Genomic DNA, 17,822 nt, shown 5'->3' on the forward strand with positions numbered 1-17,822 from the left:
TTAAAATTGGGGAAGAGAGATAGACGACATTATCAGAGCTATATATGGATTCCAGATTAAATAAAAGCAGAAATATATATCTTTTATCTTCAGATTCATCTGTCTTATAATAATTGTTACTTTAGTTCCAATGTGCTTGTTAAGTCCAGCACCTCAGCCTAGTCTCCTTTTACAACCATTAACATCCTCTTGGCATGAAGTCCTGACATTTCCATCTTTTACTTTAAAACTGATTTAGTGCTGTCAGTAATCTCCCGAAAGGATTGAGATCTGTGAGCTACCCAGAATGAGTGACTGTAGGTCAGGCCACTGATCCCATCAAGAGGCATCTGTGAGCTAAACATTAGGGGGTTTTGAGCACAGAACTAGGGGATCGAGGCGGTAGTTCAGGGTCTGCCAAACCACGGGCCAAATCTAGGCCATTGCCTGGTTTTATAAATAAAGTTTTATTGAAACACAGCTATGCCCATTTATTACCTATTTCCCATGATTGCTTTCACACTGCAATGGCAGTGTTGAGTAGTTGCAAAAGAGACCATGTGGCCTACAAAGCCTAAAATATTTGTTTTCTACTCCCCTAATAGGAAAATTTGGCCAACCCATGCACTAGATGGTTGTCTGTAATTTAAAATGTTCTAGCACATTTAAAGTTGCTGAACAGGAATCTAAAATAAGCTTAGCTATATTTGTTGCCTTGATTTGTTTGCTTATAGTCAACTGTAAGCAGATGTGGCATAAACTAATAATTGGGCATTTCTTGAAAGCAGCCGAAAGTGCTTGCTTCCCTGTGAGCCTTTACTAATGCAGTCCCCTCTGCCTGGAATGTCCAACCCCACCCCACCCTCTCTCTTTTTTTCCTGTCTATTTCCTGTCAGTTTTCAGAATTCTACCTAATTCAAGCCCTGTTTGTTAAGCCTTCCCTCACCCCAGACCCCAGGCAAAAGGAACATTTCTCTCCTCTAGTTTCCAGAGCTCATGTTAAAGTCCTCTACCATGGCAGGCTCACATGAATTGTTGGTCCATCTACTCCACTATGAACTCTGCAGGGGCAGTAGCAATGTTGCATTTATTTCCATAACCTAGCCTTATAAGACTCAGTCATTTGTTAAATCTAGGCTCGTCTTTTCCCTAAGTGATTTCCCTAAGCTTGTCCCCACATTGCACACCTCATTACTTGCCTCTTGGCTTCTACTCTTACCCTCTCTAGTCTGCAGTGAGAGTGAACTTCCCTCAGGATAAATCAGGTCATTTCACTCCTCTGTTCAAAACCCTACTCTAGCTTATACTTGGAATAAAATCAAAAGGTCTACTATAGCCTGCAGGGCCCTGCATGACCTGATTCCTTGCCTGTCTCTCCACCATCATATACCTCTTACTGCTCTTTCCCATGCAAGCTGGATTCCAGGGACACTGACTTCTTTGCAGTTCCTCAAACACTCCAAGCATGCTTCTGCCTCAGGATCTTTGCATTTACTATTCCATCTTCTTGGAATACTCTTCCCCAGGTAGTTACATAGCTTGCCCCCTTACTTCATTCAACTTACCGCTCTGATATCACCTCCTCAAAGAGGCCTTCATTCTTGGAAGAAACAAAATAGCCCTTTTTGTCACTGTCTGTTCTCTTAAATTTATATTGCTTCATAGCCCTTATTACTTCCCATTAAATTTATTTGTTTACCTGCCTTCCTCAGCAGAATACAAACTCTATGAGGTTAAGAACACTGTCTTGTTTGCTGTTCTCTCTCTCTCTCTAGCGTTTGAAACAGGGCCTGGCGTCTAGTAGAGGCCCAATTACCATCTGTTGAATACAAATGAATGGAAGTCTGTTGATTCTGGCATAAGCACCGCACTGTTTTCATCATTTAAGTGTTATAATGTGTACTAATATTACTTTGTAATGAATATGAAAGTCTGTTTAGAAAGGCATGGGTTTTAAGAGGAGACAGATATTGGTTCAAATTCTGGCTCTATCAGGTGGTAGTTGCATGGCCTCGGTCAAGTGGTTTGACCTCTCTGGGCCTTAATTTCCTTGGAGTTAATCAGGGGATAATCATCCCCTCCACACAGGGTTATTATAAGGAATAAATGAGATAATACACGTATTGTGAAATTGTTTTTAGAGACAGGGTCTCGCTCTGTTGCCCAGGCTGGAGCACAGTGATGGCTCACTGCAGCCTCAAACTCCTGGGCTCAAGCATTCCTCCTTCCTCAGCCTCCTGAGTAGCTGAGACTGCAGGTACCTTCCACCATGCCCAGCTAATTTATTTTACTTTATTTTTTTTGTAGAGATGGGGTCTCGCTTTCTGGTTCAGGCTGTTCACAAACTCCTGACTTCCAAAACTCCTCCTGCCTCAACCTCCCAAAGTGCTGGGATTACAGTGATAAGCCACCATGCCCAACCATATTTTGAAATGTTTTTTAGGCAAATTATAACATATTATAAATAGTATAACCTCATTTGTTAAATTATGTGTTTCTGTTTTTAAAAATGTCTGCAAGGGTATAGCCCAAAATGTTGACAATGGTCATCAGTGGTAAGCTTGGGAGTGATTTTTATTATCTTCTTTACACTTCTGTAATTTTGTATTTGTTTTTCTTTTCACAACAAAGTACATGCTTCAATTGGCAGTGGCAAGAAGCCACTTTTATTTTGAGAAAATAAAATGCAAATAAGAGTGTACCCTTTCCACCACACTGTGTTACCCATCTACTATGGCACTCAGGCACTGATAAAATCTTGATGAGTAGGTTGGCAGGGGAGGGTGGCCAGGAAAGAGGGCCAGCAATAACTAGGAATAGAATTGGGGAATAACTCAGTTCGTTATCTTTTCTACACCATTCTCCTTGCTTAGTCAGGTTGGTAAGAGGGACACTGAGCCTCAGTTTCCTTGTCAATATCCATACTTCTGAATAGTGTGGAGATGAAATGAGGTAATTTTCCCATAGCCAAGAGAGTGTATAGGGGTTAAGAGCACAGCTCTGGAGTAGTTAGCATGAGTTTGGATCCTAAATTCCTCATTACTAACTGATGACCTTATACTTTTTGAACCTGTTTCCTCACTCCAAAATAGGGGGAATAATTTGGACCTGGAAAATTTCCTGTGAGGACTCAAGGAGCACATGGCCTGCTGAAATCCATGAACTACTAGACTGCCTCTATTCACCTGATGTCCTGCTTTTCACCCAGCCTCTTCACCGCAGCCTTTATGATGGAGAATAGAGGAGGAGGAGGGACACAGAGCCTCTTCTAACTCCAGCCACATTTACCTGGGCCTTGTTTCTAGGCAGTGGAAAGCCAGGAAGGAGAGTCAAGAAAGGTACAGATGAGTCATCAATTCCCTTTGTGCTGCTAGAACAAGTGTCAGAGGGAAGCCATGTACCTGTCTGCCCATTGACACTCAGACAACCATTGTACTATAAGAAGCACTTGGCTGCCTGACAAAGAATGGAAAATAAACATGGCAAGGCCAAGATGTCCAAGATGAGTCAACTGGGCAGTGGTGGCAGGAGAGCAACAATGAAGAGTCCTAGCGTTTTGCACAGCTTGGTAAGCATCTGGCCCCAGAGCTTATTAGGATGAGTACTGTGTCCCCGCAAACACCAGCACTCCAGCCCAGTGGATGCCTAGAACTATTCATCAAGATGAAGTGGGTTTTATTATTATGGATATTGTTAGCCACAAAACACAAAAGATGCAGAGGAGGAATGATTACTATGTTCCTCTTTTATGATATTCAATGGTTTGAGTCATGATAAGGAGGTCATCAGGATGAGAGTGGGTATCTCCCACCCCTTTCCTTTCTTTTGTAACAGAATATTGAATTGAACCCTGCAGTATGCTGGGCCCCAGGGATGCAGAGATGACGCACTGCATGCCCTGCCTTGGAGAAGAAGTCAAGTGGTGAAACCAGGCAAGTGCCATGCCATTAGAGTGCCCTGTGGTCAAGATGTACTCCAAAAGGATCTGAGACTAAATATCAGTGTGTGAGCAGCTCTACTTCCTACTGGAGGCACAAGCTGGTTCCTAAAGGATGACAAGGCACTTGCCCAGGGCAAAGGCCTTGAAATAGGTGGCCAGCAAGTGACAACTGGGTCATGGCAACCCAAATGTGTCCAGATGCCAGGAGAGGCTTAGTCAAATACAAGTCGGCATACAAATTGAGTGTCCTCTTTGAAGCTTAGAGCAGTTGAGCAGTTAGGGTAAATCTTCTTAACTTGAGGCATGCAAGGCCCTACAGATCCCCTCTCCTCGCATCTGGCTCCAGTCACCCTTTCCAACCTCATTGCCATTACTGGCTCCTATCCTACCCTCTACCCACTTCACTAAACACACCCTGTATTTTCCTGCCTTTGTGCCTTTCCAGGTACAGTCTGATCACCCAGAGTCCTCTTCTCCATCTCTGCCTCTGGTAGAGTCCAGTCAATCAATTAAGGTCAAATTCCTCCTCCAATAGACCCGACCCTTGGGGCATATCCACCATCTCTACCCACATGCCACCAGAAAGAATCAATCTCTCCTTCCCTTTTGTGCCCAGAACACTTAGTACCTCTGTTAAGAACTTGACACAACCTGCCTTGTGTAGCCAAATGGTTAAGAACACAAGCTGTGGTTTCAAGAGAGCAGACTTAGAAACACCACCTGTGTGACCTCGGGTAAATTTACTAACCATTCGAGCCCTCAGTGTCATGATCTGTATAATGAGAATGATAATAGTGTCTACTTACTGGAGTTATTTTTAGGATTATATGAGATAATGCATCTAAAGCATAGTGCCTGACACATAATAAGCATTCAATAAATTGTAGCTCATTTTGTTATATGGCCATGTTGTCCCCAACTTAAATTGTGAGCCACTAGAGATCAGGGACTATTGTTAATAGTATTATATTGTTACTGACTCTTTTTTCAGTTTGGTGACCAGTATATAGTAGGTGCTTGATAAAGATTGATAAGATCCTCTTGAATCATTGCCTTGAAGATACTGGGGTATTTCTGGAGTACTTCAAAGTTTGGGTTTATGATCTAGGATGTACCATAACCCTAAAAGCATAAGACCCATATAGCCTTCTGAATAGCCTTCTGAATTGGGGGAAACCCTTGAGAGTTGAGCTGGTATGGGCATATATTTGATAGGGCTTTTTTTCTCAGGCCATGTCAGACCAGTGAAATACTTGGGGCATGCTATAGTCTGAATATTTGTGTCTCCCCAAATTCATAGGTTGATATCCTAACCCCCAAGATGATGGTATTAGGAAGTGGAGCCTTTGGGAGATGATTGGGTTATAAGGGTAGAACCCTCATGAATGAGATTAGTGCCTTTATAAAGGAGGACCAAGATAGATTCCTTGCTCCTATTGCCATGTGAGGTTAGTGTGAAAAGACAGCTATCTATGAGTTAGAAAATGGACCCTCACCAGACACTAAATCTGCTGGCTTCTTGATCTTCAACTTGCCAGCCTCCAGAACTGTAAGCAATAAATTTCTGTTGTTTATAAGCTACCCAGTCTATGGTATTTTATCAGCCTGAAGGGACTAAGACAGGGTATGCAAGTCTATGATTCTCTAGAGCAGTCATGTGAAGTGCCTATGAGAAGGTTTTAAAGGAACACTCTAGACACCTAGAGAAAGAAAAGAGCCACTGAGATCTGCTGGGAGCAGCTGAAGGAACCACTGGGGAGAGAGCAGCAAAGGAAGAGCAGCCCCATCCTTCTGCCAAGAAGGTGATCTTGTTGAGGAGTTGGGTCGGGGCTGGTGCTGGTGTTATTTTAAATACGAGCTGAGTTTCTCAATGGGTCTGTACTGGGAGAAGCAGAGACAAACAGGGGAGGGAACAGCCACTGCCATGTGTTGTGGCTAGTCACATTATTATTATGACTATTATTATTAATTATTATTATTATTATTATTATTATTATTATTTGAGACAGAGTTTCTCTCTTTTTGCCCCAGGTGGAGTGCAATGGTGCGATCTTGGCTCACTGCAACCTCCACCTCCTGGGTTCAAGTGATTCTCCTGCCTCAGCCTCCCAAGTAGCTGGGATTACAGGTACATGCCATTACGCCCGTCTAATTTTGTATTTTTAGTAAAGACAGAGTTTCACCATATTGGCCAGGATGGTCTCAAACTCCTGACCTCAGGCGATCCACCCACCTCAGCCTTCCAAAGTGCTGGGATTCCAGGCATGAGCCCTGGCCCCAGCTCATGATGATGATGATGATGATGATGATGATTATTATTATTATTATTATTATTATTATTATTACATATTTTTTGAGACAGAGTCTCGCTCTGTCACCAGGCTGGAGTGCAGTGGTGCGATCTCGGCCCACTGCAGCCTCTGCCTCCCCAGTTCAAGCAATACTCCTGCCTCAGCCTCCTGAGTAGCTGGGACTACAGGCATGCACCACCACGCCCAGCTACTTTTTGTATTCTTAGTTGAGACAGGGTTTCACCATGTTGGCCAGGCTGGTCTCAATCTCTTGACCTCGTGATCCACACACCTCAGCCTCCCAAAGTGCTGGGATTACAAGTGTGAGCCACTGCGCCCAGCCTCATTTTTTTATTAGATTTGAACTACCCTGGCATAGACTTTATGTACTGTTCTTAGCTCTGATGCCATCTTACTTCCCCATCCTGGTTTTATCTCTGCCTCTGCTTTGCCGTCTGGTTATTTTCCCTCTCCTGTTGAAGGTGATATATTTCTTCAAACCACCACAAATCAACTTGGGCATGAGGTAAGGCATAAATAAATCATCTTTTTAAAAAAACATACATTCTCATTTGATACTCAAAACAATCCTGTGACAGATACGCTGATCCTCTGAGAGTATGAGATTTGTGCAAAATCAAAAAGATTGTAAATATCTTCTAGGTCCAAGTTTGGTACACTTTCCACTAACAAACAACCAACCTGTTGAGCCCTGACTATGTGCCAGACACTGGGTGAGGGGTTGAAGATTGAAAATTGACTTGGTGCCAAGCACATTATCTCAGTTCTGTGAGGACAGTGTTGCCATCAACCCTGAATTACAGGTGAGGAATTTGAGGCTAACCACAGTTAGGTGACTTGATGTGGTCGTACAGCAAAGCAAGTAACAGGTTCTGTCCCAGCCAGTGCTCCTTTCGCTCCCACCTAACAAAGGTAGGGAGCTCACTGATGAGAGTGTTAGTTAGAGGCTACATCCTGCCATTCACTCAGTCTGCTGGTTTTCTAGTCCCATACGTCTGTAATCAAAACACTAAGAAGTACTAACATTCCTGGACCACCCGTCAGGTGCCAGGCATCATGCTAAATACTTAACTTTCATTATCTTGTCATCCTCTGAGGCAGGTACTATTTTATTCCCTTTTCTCACTTCATTCCCTCTCCCTGTGTACTCTCATCCACAGCCACAACTACAGTTAGTACCTATGCTCAAATGAATGACAAATGTTTATATCTAGACCAGACTTTTCTGAGCATTTCACACCACTATTTCCAATTGCTTACTTAATTTTTGTTCTTGAATTTATTTGTTCATCTATTCAACAAATATTCATTGATCACCTACTATATAAAAAGCATGATTCTAGATGTTGAAGATTATAGCAGCATAAAAATAGACAAGAATCCCTTTCTCTTGGAGCTTACATTCTGGTGGGGGAATCACAGTAAGGAAGAAAAAAATGGAAAATATCTAGATAATATGAAGAACTAAGGTGAAAAATAAAGCAGAGAAGAGGATATGAAATGTTGGAGTGGTGTTGAAATTGTAGATAGGATAGAGAGAGAAGGCCTCGCTGTTGTTGTAGTATTTGAATAAGGGAGGTGGAAGAGGTGAGAGAGGTAAGGGAAACCTCTAAAACACCTCAAACTCAATAGGACCAAAATCCAACCCGTGATTTTCTCCTTAGAACTTAATCCTTTTTCAGTGATCTCAATCTCAAGAAATGATCCCACCATCTGAGTTAGTTGAGGCAGAAACCTAGAAGCCATCCTCACTCTAAGCTCTTTCTCCCTTCCTCATACCCCTGCCAACATATCCAATCCATCAACAAGTTTTGTTGATTCTAGGCCATAACTATTTCTCTTGAGATAACACACTTTTCCCCCATCTCCATTATTACCATTGTGATCCAAGCCCATGTCATCTTTCACAGCAGCCAGAGTTAACCTTTTCCAAACTAAAATCTGGTAATGTTATCACCTCACTTAAGACTTACAATGGCATAACATTGCTCTTACTGGTAGGATGAAGACCAAACTGTTTCATGACCTGTACATAGTCTGACTCTAACCTCCTTCTCCAGTCTCCTTTCATACCAGTATTGCCCCCACTTCAAATACACATACCCACCCCCCACCCCACACACACTCTAGTCAAACTAGCTTTATTTTAGAATCTTAAATCAGTCATGTTCTTGCCAATATACATCCTGTTTACATGCTGTTCCTTCTTTCTGGAACGCCCTTCTTCACTTGTCTCAAGCCTGTCACTCTCACCTAGTTATCACCCCATTCAGAGAGCAGCCTTCCCTGACCTTCCTGACTCGGTCATGTTCTCCTGCTACAGGGTGTCATGACCCTGTGGATTTCCCCCTCCACACTTTCACAGATGCAATTTTACATCAAGTTTTGTGACTATTTGTTTAATGTCTACCTTCCCCACTGAACTGTAACTCCATGAGGACAGGGATCTATATGCTTATGATTGAAACCCCAGTGCCTAGAATAGTGCTTGGCACTTAAATAGGTGCTCAACAAATATTTGTTGAGTGAATGAATGAAAAAAATGAATGGGCCACAATTTCACAGATAAAACTGTGACTCAGAGAGGTAAAACACATTGCTCAAGGCCACATAATTGGTTAGTGACAGAGCAGGGACTTGAAATGAAATCTGTTGATTTCATTTCCCATGTTCTTTCTCCTGCCTTTTACATTTTATACTTTTAATTTCAGAAGTTTCATGTGAATACAGTCATGCAGTCCCCCAGGCTTTGTCCTTCCTAAGAAATACCACTGTTAACATTTTGGTATCTATGTTTCCAAGGCTCATTCTCTGTTTTAAAATATATATATATGTACACACACATACTCATGGATAAACATATTTTATTGGGTTTTGTATTTTAACATCAATGGAATCATACTAGGTGCATTCTTCTGATAGAATAATCTTTTATTAACATAACATTGTGCCTTTAGAGATCTTTTGTCAGTACATAAGCCTGGCACACTCCTGGCACACTCCTTTGCATATGTGAAGAGATGCTGAAACATTAAATAAATGATACATAAAATGCATGTGTCATTAAGTAATTCGTTTGTTATCAAAAGAGAGTAAGGTAACAACATTTTGGTGTAGTTCCTTTATTATTTGTCACTGTGCTACATTTTAGAAATCCACAGATGAGGAAGGCAGTTCTTGCCTGTATTCTGCCAGCATAGATAAAGCTAGGAGGAATGAGACAGCATGGTATACTTAGGGCAACAGAAGTAGCTCTGTGTTACCATAGCCTATAGTGCAAGGACAAATGTGAGAGACAAGGCTACGGACATAGGCAGGGGGTAGATTATGTAGAGCTTTATTTATAATGCTAAAGCACTGTGGCCCTTATCCTGATGGCACAGGGTACCATATAAGGATTACTGGTTAGGAATGCTTTAGCTGCAAGTAGCAGAAAATCTATTAATAATATATATTTTTTCTTAAATGTAATAAGTCTAAAGACAGGCAGTTGCTGGTTTTGCTTCAGAGGCTCAACAATGCTCTTAGAGCTGTGTTGGAAAGCCCATACAATTATGACACAGTTATAAGAAGTGCATTCAGAAAGGATCATGGTTTGAACTGGTTGAACTCATAGGACTGTATCTGCTGCCAGCTTCATCTTTTGGCCAGCCTCACCTGGCATTTGTATGTATGCCCTATCTGGGAGATTTAACATACTGCCAGGAAATGCCACTAGCCACCAAAAATGGAGGAATATAGTGGGGTCACAATCTCCATCTAGGCCTCAGGAAAAATAAAGTATTCATTATTTAACCTATGGATGATACCTTCCTAAACTACAAATATAAAAACAAATGTGGTCCAAAACATATTAAGAAGAAAGAGGAGGAGGAGGAGGAGGACAATAACAGCAATGACAGCAAGAACAAGGACAAGACATTGACAACTGGGAGTTCAGGCTCTGCCAAGATCTTCTTGATGCGAGGTGGTAGGAGACAGCTACTTCTTCCCACTCTTTCCTTATGTCTTCTGTCAGTTCAAAGAAGCCCAGGTAGTCATGAATCTGGACCTCCTCAGAGCATGAATCCTAGACTGAGTCCACAAGGGAAGTACCTGAAAAATGACTTTTTAGATGTGATTGGGGTAATTAGAATAATTGACAATGTCTCTTGACCTCTGTGAATAACTTAATTATATAATCATATATTCTTTGCCTGGCCACCCAAGAGCAAACTGGGACGGCCCCATATCTGTCCAACCCACAAGAAACAGGAGGTTGAATTGTTGGACCAAGCAGCATTTGAACCAGAATGTGGATGACGCAGACAAGGTATTCAAAGTCCTAAACTCTTTTCATCCCCAACTTCTACCTTTCTGTATTAAGGACACATAGAGATTTTTTTTAGTTGCCCTTGTATCAAAATCCAGAGGACAGGAAGGTAGTAGAGGCCATTTTTGTATTGAGAAATTAACTGCCTTTAAAACTATGGGGTTTTGTAAAGGACAAGCCCATCTCAGCCCTCTGCCCCATCTGCACATCTACCCCATTCATGTGTGACTAACAATTAGGACTTCTCAAAGTGATCTGTCCTATTTATATTAACCACCATTACTCTTTATTTTGGATGAACAGCCAAACCTTATGACTACCTGGAGGCTCTCGCTCACTATTTCGATAATGGCTTTCAAAAAAAAGACTCTCCGGAAGAAGTCTAAGTATCTATAATTTAAATAAGTGCCCCTGATTATTCTCATACGTAGTCATTGGAAACTACTGGCCTAGAGGTCATTAAGGAAAACCAAAAGACATCCTGTGGTACAAGGAAAGCTTCTCCCAGAAGGGATGACTCGCCAGGAAAACATCCAGGCATGAGACCAACTTGGTTCTATACCCACTTCTCTATCTACTCATTCATTCATGTAGCTGATCATCTAGCTAGAAACTATGATTTACAGAGTAGTTTAGGATAAGATTGAGTTCTGATGCAGGCTAATGAAGGAACTAACATATCTTAAGGAGGGGCATGATGTCATCAGATTCATTAAGTCACTCTCATTTCTTCTACTACCCCAAGCTCAAGGTTTTTCCTGGGTTTTCTCAGGGTCTTCAAGATGGTAAAACTTCTGTCGTCTTCCCTTAACTAAATGCATGTATAATATCAATGCATTTTCAAATATTTATTGAGCATTTACTATATGTGAGGTATTTTGCCTGTTTCCAGATATGTAGCAATGAACATGCTAGGCAAGAATGTTGATATCATAGAGACTTCCCTATTCCTTGCTTCCTACCCTGTGTTGCAGGCTTGAGGAAGGATCCTACAACCACAGCAGAATTTCAGGAGTAGAAGTCAGCCCTGGTACTTGGTACAGTCAATTTGCGGGTGATCAGAGGCGTACTTCTAGAAACCAACCTCTGACCTCACATGTTCTAGGATGATTTTTTTTTTAAGATGATATGGATAGCATGGCAGAGACTACTTGTTCCCCAATATTTCTTCACTCCTTCTTCCATAATAACAGAATCTTGAGCAAGTCACATGGCCACTCAGAATGGAGATTATATTTCCAGTCTCCATTGCAGAGTCAGGTTTAGCCATAAGACTAAGTTTTAGCCAGTGGGGTGTGAGCAGTAGTGGTGTGTGTGGTATGTGAGTTGTTACCTCTAATGGAAAAGACATTCCTTATCCTTCCCTTTTTCCCCTCCTCACTGGCTGGGTGTCATGGTAAGTCATCTTTGACCATACAGGTAGAGTAAGATTTTAGGGATGGCAGAGTATGATGGTAGAAGGAACTTGGGTTCCTGAATACTTCATTGAGCGGTGTTGCTGTACCGGCCCTGCACTACCTACCTCCTGATGGTTACATGAGAGAGAAAGCAACATTCATGTAGTTGAAGCCACTCTTATCTTGGATTTCTGTTACAGCAACAGAACCTATGTCCTAACTAATACTGTGTTCAATGAGAAACTCACTAATTACCAGAATGAGAATAGATTTAACAGGCTCATATAGGCAAAACCCATACAATATTGGGTTGAGGAATGTGGAAAAAGTGTGGAAGTAGAGATAGTAATTGTAGGCAACTCTTTCAAGGTCATCTGTAAAAAGAGGGACACTAAGGCATTAGCTATAGTGGATGTTGGGTGAAGAGAAGGCTATGGTTTTGGTGGAATGGTGATAAGAGAAATATGATCATGTTTCCAATATTATTGGAAGGCTCCAATAGAGAACAAGAAGTTAAAATACAGAAGAGGTGGCAAACATGGTGGCTCACGCCTGTAATCCCAGTACTTTGGGAGGCCAAGGCAGACAGATCACTTGAGGTCAGGGATTCGAGACCAGCCTCGCCAACATGACAAAACCCCAGCTCTACTAAAAATACAAAAGTTAGCTGGGCATGGTGGCGGGCACCTGTAATCTCAGCTACCAGTGAGGCTGAGGCAGGAGAATCAGTTGCAGTAGGTAGTACAGGTTACAGTAGGTAGTGCAGGTTATAGTGAGCCGAGATTACGCCTCTGCACTCCAGCTTGGGCGACAGAGGGAGACTCAGTCTCAAAAAAAAAAAAAATACAGAAATGGTGAGAGGAATCGATGGAAGCAACCCCTAATGGCTGGGCACACAGTAGCTGACACCTGTAATCCCAGCACTTTGAGAGACCCAGATGGGAGGATCACTTGAGCCCAGAAGTTCTAGATCAGCCTGGGCAACATAATGAGACCCCCATCTCTACAAAAAAGGAAAAAGAAAAATTAACTGGGTGTGGTGGCGCACACCTGTAACCCCACGGAAGGCTGAGGTGGAAGGACCACTTGAGTCTAGGAGGTCAAGGCTGCAGTGAGCCATGACCATGCCACTGCACTCCAGCCTGAGCAACAGAGTGAGACCCTGTGTCCACCTCCCTCAACACCCGGCTCAAAAAAAAAAGGAAAGAAACCCCTAAGGAGTCAGCAAGGATGAGATCCAAAACCCAGGGTGGAAAAGGGAAAGCTGGTTCTTCTGAGAAAGAAACAACAAGGAAAAGATGACTGTAGAAACAAGCAATGGCCAGGAATCTAAGGGAATTCCTCTGTGAAGGAGGAGGCAAAGCCATCTGCTGAGAGTGTAAGTAGGACATGGCTGTCAGTTCAGGGGCTTGCATTTGAGTACTGAGGTTTTGAGTTGTTGGGTAAGACAAGAAGGTGACTAAAAACAAAGAGGATTTCAGGCTGGAATTGTGGGCCCGGGTGGTTTTGCACTCTATGAGTCCACACAGTTGTATGATATTTATCTGGAAAAGATTAATTATAGAAAAAACAAAAATTTAAAGAGCGTAGACTATATAGGAGCAGAAGGCTTAAAAACCTAAGGGAGACCTTAACATAATGTGATAACATCACAGATGTTAAAAAACGGATAAAGGGTTAGAAAAGTGAAAGGAACTTCTCTCTAAAGATGCGACAGGCATTTATTCTCCCAGGCCAGGTGGAGTGCTGGGCTCTAACCAATACCATCTCATGTAACCCTCACCACAACACATGGAGATAGGGATGACTAGCTTCATTTTTCACATACGAGATGGAGTCAGGTCAGGTCATATCAATGGTGAACTACAAAGTGTAGAAGTAAGCCCCATTTTTTTCCTGATTTTAAAGTGCATGCTCCAGCCACCTCCACTCTGCTGCCTTGAACAGACCTTCCCTGGATACCGGAAAACGATGATCTATTTGAGAGGCAATTTTGCAGCAGGGAAAGTTACTGTTTTTTTATCTGCAATTTCTCATTAGTCTGGGTTTTGAAAGCCTACTTGAACCGTCTCTACTTGTTTGTGGGCTTTTTTCATTCGCATGCACTCTGACCTAAGTCGCGACGGATAACTTGTTGCCAGGATATCTCTGTAATAGCCAGAATGAAAAGTAAACAATAGCAAAACATCACATTAATCTAGCTCTTTGTGATGGCTGCATTTCTTTTTGTTAAACGCATTATTTCTGAATCTTTCTTGGGGGTGGGTCCAGGGAAGGGAGAGAGCTATTAACAACCTACTATTCTTTATTTAAAACCTCTTTATATAATATTCAACTATTGCTCTACAGACATTTAACACCCAGTCTACATCCCTTTTGGTTAAAATGCTGATGACTACATGACCAGATAAATTACAATCTTAAATAAAAGTGGGTAGGCATAGTAAACTGAAAACTGACAAGGACCTTTACAACTCTAACTTTCCAAATAATGAGAAAATTATAGGAAATAAATCTTTTTTTCTGTTGTCCCAGGTTTATTAAAAATATTGCACCATAGCAAAAAGATTCAAACAGCTCCACGTGGTATTTTAAAATTCATCCTAACTGTAGGCTGATTGACTTGCAGTTTCGGCAGACTGCCAAAGTCCAAAACCCTCAGCATTTCCTCAGTGTCCAGATCCTCTTCAATGATCTCCTGATCCAGAGTTGTGATAATTCGGAAACATAATTATCTCTCCTTTCTCTGCCCTCCTCCTGCAACTCGATGGAGATAACCCTCACTGGACCTCTCTAAATCTCTTTCATCAGATGTGTGACATAGCCTGCCATCTTGTTGTGGAGCTTCTTGTTGGGAATAATGGCAACTTCCTCGCACATGCCTTTGCTCATGTGGAAGTAGTTGCCCAGCAGGTATAGTACTTTTCAATGATGATCCAGGCTGCCTTCTTCATACTTTTGGTGCGAACGTGGTCCAGCTTGGCAGGTCCTTGCTAAAAGAGACAAATCTTTTTTTCTGAAACCGCCCATTTAGAAACATCTAGCTCTCTGACACTTTCTCACACGATCCTGCAATGAATTTGTGGGGTAGGTACTACAATTATCCCCATTGGACAGATGAGGAAACTGAAGCCCAGAGAGTTGAAGTGACTAGTGACTAATGTAAGGACACACAATGAGTGGTAGAGGCATGATTTGAACCTAAGTATGTACAGTTCACATACAGGTGATTGTTTTACTCCAGCTTTAAGAATGGGTCAGAGGCCAGGCATGGTGGTTCAAGCCTGTAATCCCAACACTTTGGGAGGCAGATGTGGGAGGATTGCTTGAGGCCAGGAATTTGAGACCAGTGTAGGCAACATGGCAAGACCTTGTCACTGCAGAAAATTTAAAAATTAGCCAGTCGTGGTAGCATGCACCTGTAGTCCTAGCTACTTGGGAGGCTGAGGCAGGAGGATCACTTGAGCTTAGGAGTTGGAGTCCAGCCTGGGCAATATGATGAGACTCTGTCTCTACAAAAATTTTAAAAATTAGCCCGGTGTGGTGGTGTGTGCCTACAGTCCCAGCTATGCAAGAGGATTGCTTGAGCCCAGGAGATTGAGGCTGCAGTGAGCTGTAGTTATACCATTGCACCCCAGCCTGGGGGACAGAGCAAGACCCTGTCTAAAAAAGGATACGTAGGCTTTCAATGTGTGGATTTTAACTTTATTTATTTGTTGAGAGACAGGATCTGGCTCCGTCACCTAGACTGGAGTATATTGGCACGATCATGGCTCACTGCAGCCTCAGCCTCCTGGGCTCAAGTGACCCTCCTGCTTCAGCCTCTCAAGTAGCTGGGACAACAGGCATGCCACCATGCCTGGCTAATTTTTTATTTTTTATTTTTTAGTAGAGATGAGGTCTCACTATGTTGCCCAGGATGGTCTCAACCTCCTGGGCTCAAGCTACACTCTCGTCTTGACCTCCCAAAGTGTTGGGATGAAGGGCATAATCCACCATGCCTGGCCTCAACATGGATTTCAGTCTTGGTAGAAGTAGACAGAAAAACTGCAAGGACATAGTAGAATTGAACATAACTATTAATGTGATTGACCTATTGACCTGTATAGAACCTTCAATAGAATACACGTTCTTTTTGAGCACATTCAAACTATGAACCGGAATAGACCATATTCTAGATGATAAAACAAATCTCAATATATTTGGAAGAATTCAAGTAATACCAAGTCTATTATATGACCATAAAGGAATTAAATTAGCAATCAATAATAGAAAAATCTCCTGAAATCCCCAAATATTTATACACTAAATAACATACTTCTAAATAAACCATGAGTGTCTAAGAAGAACTCAGAAGTGAAATTGGAAAGTAATTTGAACTGAATGCAAAGGAAAACACAAAATTTGTTGGAAACTGCTAAAGCAGTGATGAAGGGGGAATTTGTACCACTAAACACCTATGCTAGTGAAGAGGAAAGGTTTCAAATCAATGGCCTCAGCATCTACCTGCAGAAACTAGGGGAAAAAAGAGCAAATAAGCTCAAACTGAGCAGAAGAAAGGAATGGAAATGAATGAAATAGAAAACAGAAAAACAATTGAGAAAATCAATGAAACTAAAAGCTGTTTAAATAAGAATAATAAAATTGATAAATCTCTAGGCAGACTGATGAGGGAAAAAAAGAGAATACACAAATTATCAGTATCAGAAATGAAGAAAAACAACATCATGAAAGATCCTACAGACATTAAAATTTTCAGAGCCTACTATGAACAAATTTATGCCAATAATTCAATAGCTTAGATGAATGGACATTTTTTTTTTTAATTTGTGACGCAGTCTCACTTTGTTGCCCGGCCTGGAGTGTAGTGGCCTGATCTCAGCTCACTGCAATCTCTGCCTCCTGGGTTCAAGCAGTTCTCCTGCCTCAGCCTCCCGAGTAGCTGGGACTATAGGGAAGTGCCACCATGCCTGGCTAATTTTTATATTTTTAGTAGAGATAGTATTTTGCCATGTTGGCCAGGCTGGTCTTGAACTCCTGACCTCAGGTGATCTGACCACTTCAGCCTTCCAAAGTGCTGGGATTACAGGTATGAGCCACCATGCCTGGTTGACAAATTCTTGAAAGACATAAACTACCAAAGTTCCCACAGGAAGAAATAGATAACTTGAATAGTTCTATATCTATTAATGAAATTGAGTTTCTAGATAAAAACCTACCCACAAAGACAATTCCAGGCCCAGGTGCTTTCACAGGTGAAATTTATCAGACATTTAAGAAAGAAATGATAGCAATTCTATACAAAGTCTTCTAGAAAATTGAAGAGGTGCCTGTAATCCCAGCACTTTGGGAGGCCGAGATGGGCGGATCACCTGAGGTCGGGAGTTCAAGACCAGCCTGACCAACATGAAGAAACCTGTCTCTACTAAAAATACAAAATTAGCCAGGCGTGGTGGCCTGTGCCTGTAATCCCAACTACTCAGGAGGCTGAGGCAGGAGAATCACTTGAACCTGGGAGGCAGAGGTTGCGGTGAGCCAAGATCACGCCATTGCATTCCAGTCTGGGCAACAAGAGCAAAACTCCATCTAAAAAAAAAAAAGAAAAGAAAAGAAAATTGAAGAGGAGAGGATACCTCCCAACTCAATCTATGAGGCCAGCATTACCCTGTATTAGTTTTCTAGGGCTGCCATAACAAAGTACCACAAACTGGGTGGCTTACACAACAGAAATTTATTGTCTCACAGTTCTGGAAGCTAGAAGTTCACGATTAAGGTGTCAGAGACATTTTAATCAGAGCAATTTTATTTTGAATAGGGGCTGGATAAAATGAAGATGAGACTTGCTAGGCTGCATTCCCAGGAGGTTAGGCATTTATAGTCAC

General features: G+C 42.0%; 1 pseudogene; it reads right to left on the reverse strand.

The window, feature by feature from the left end:
- Positions 14,510-14,918, reverse strand: RPS17P17 (ribosomal protein S17 pseudogene 17; annotated as a pseudogene).

The sequence above is a fragment of the Homo sapiens genome, chromosome X (genome assembly GCF_000001405.40).
Source record: "Homo sapiens chromosome X, GRCh38.p14 Primary Assembly".
NCBI lineage: Eukaryota > Metazoa > Chordata > Mammalia > Primates > Hominidae > Homo > Homo sapiens.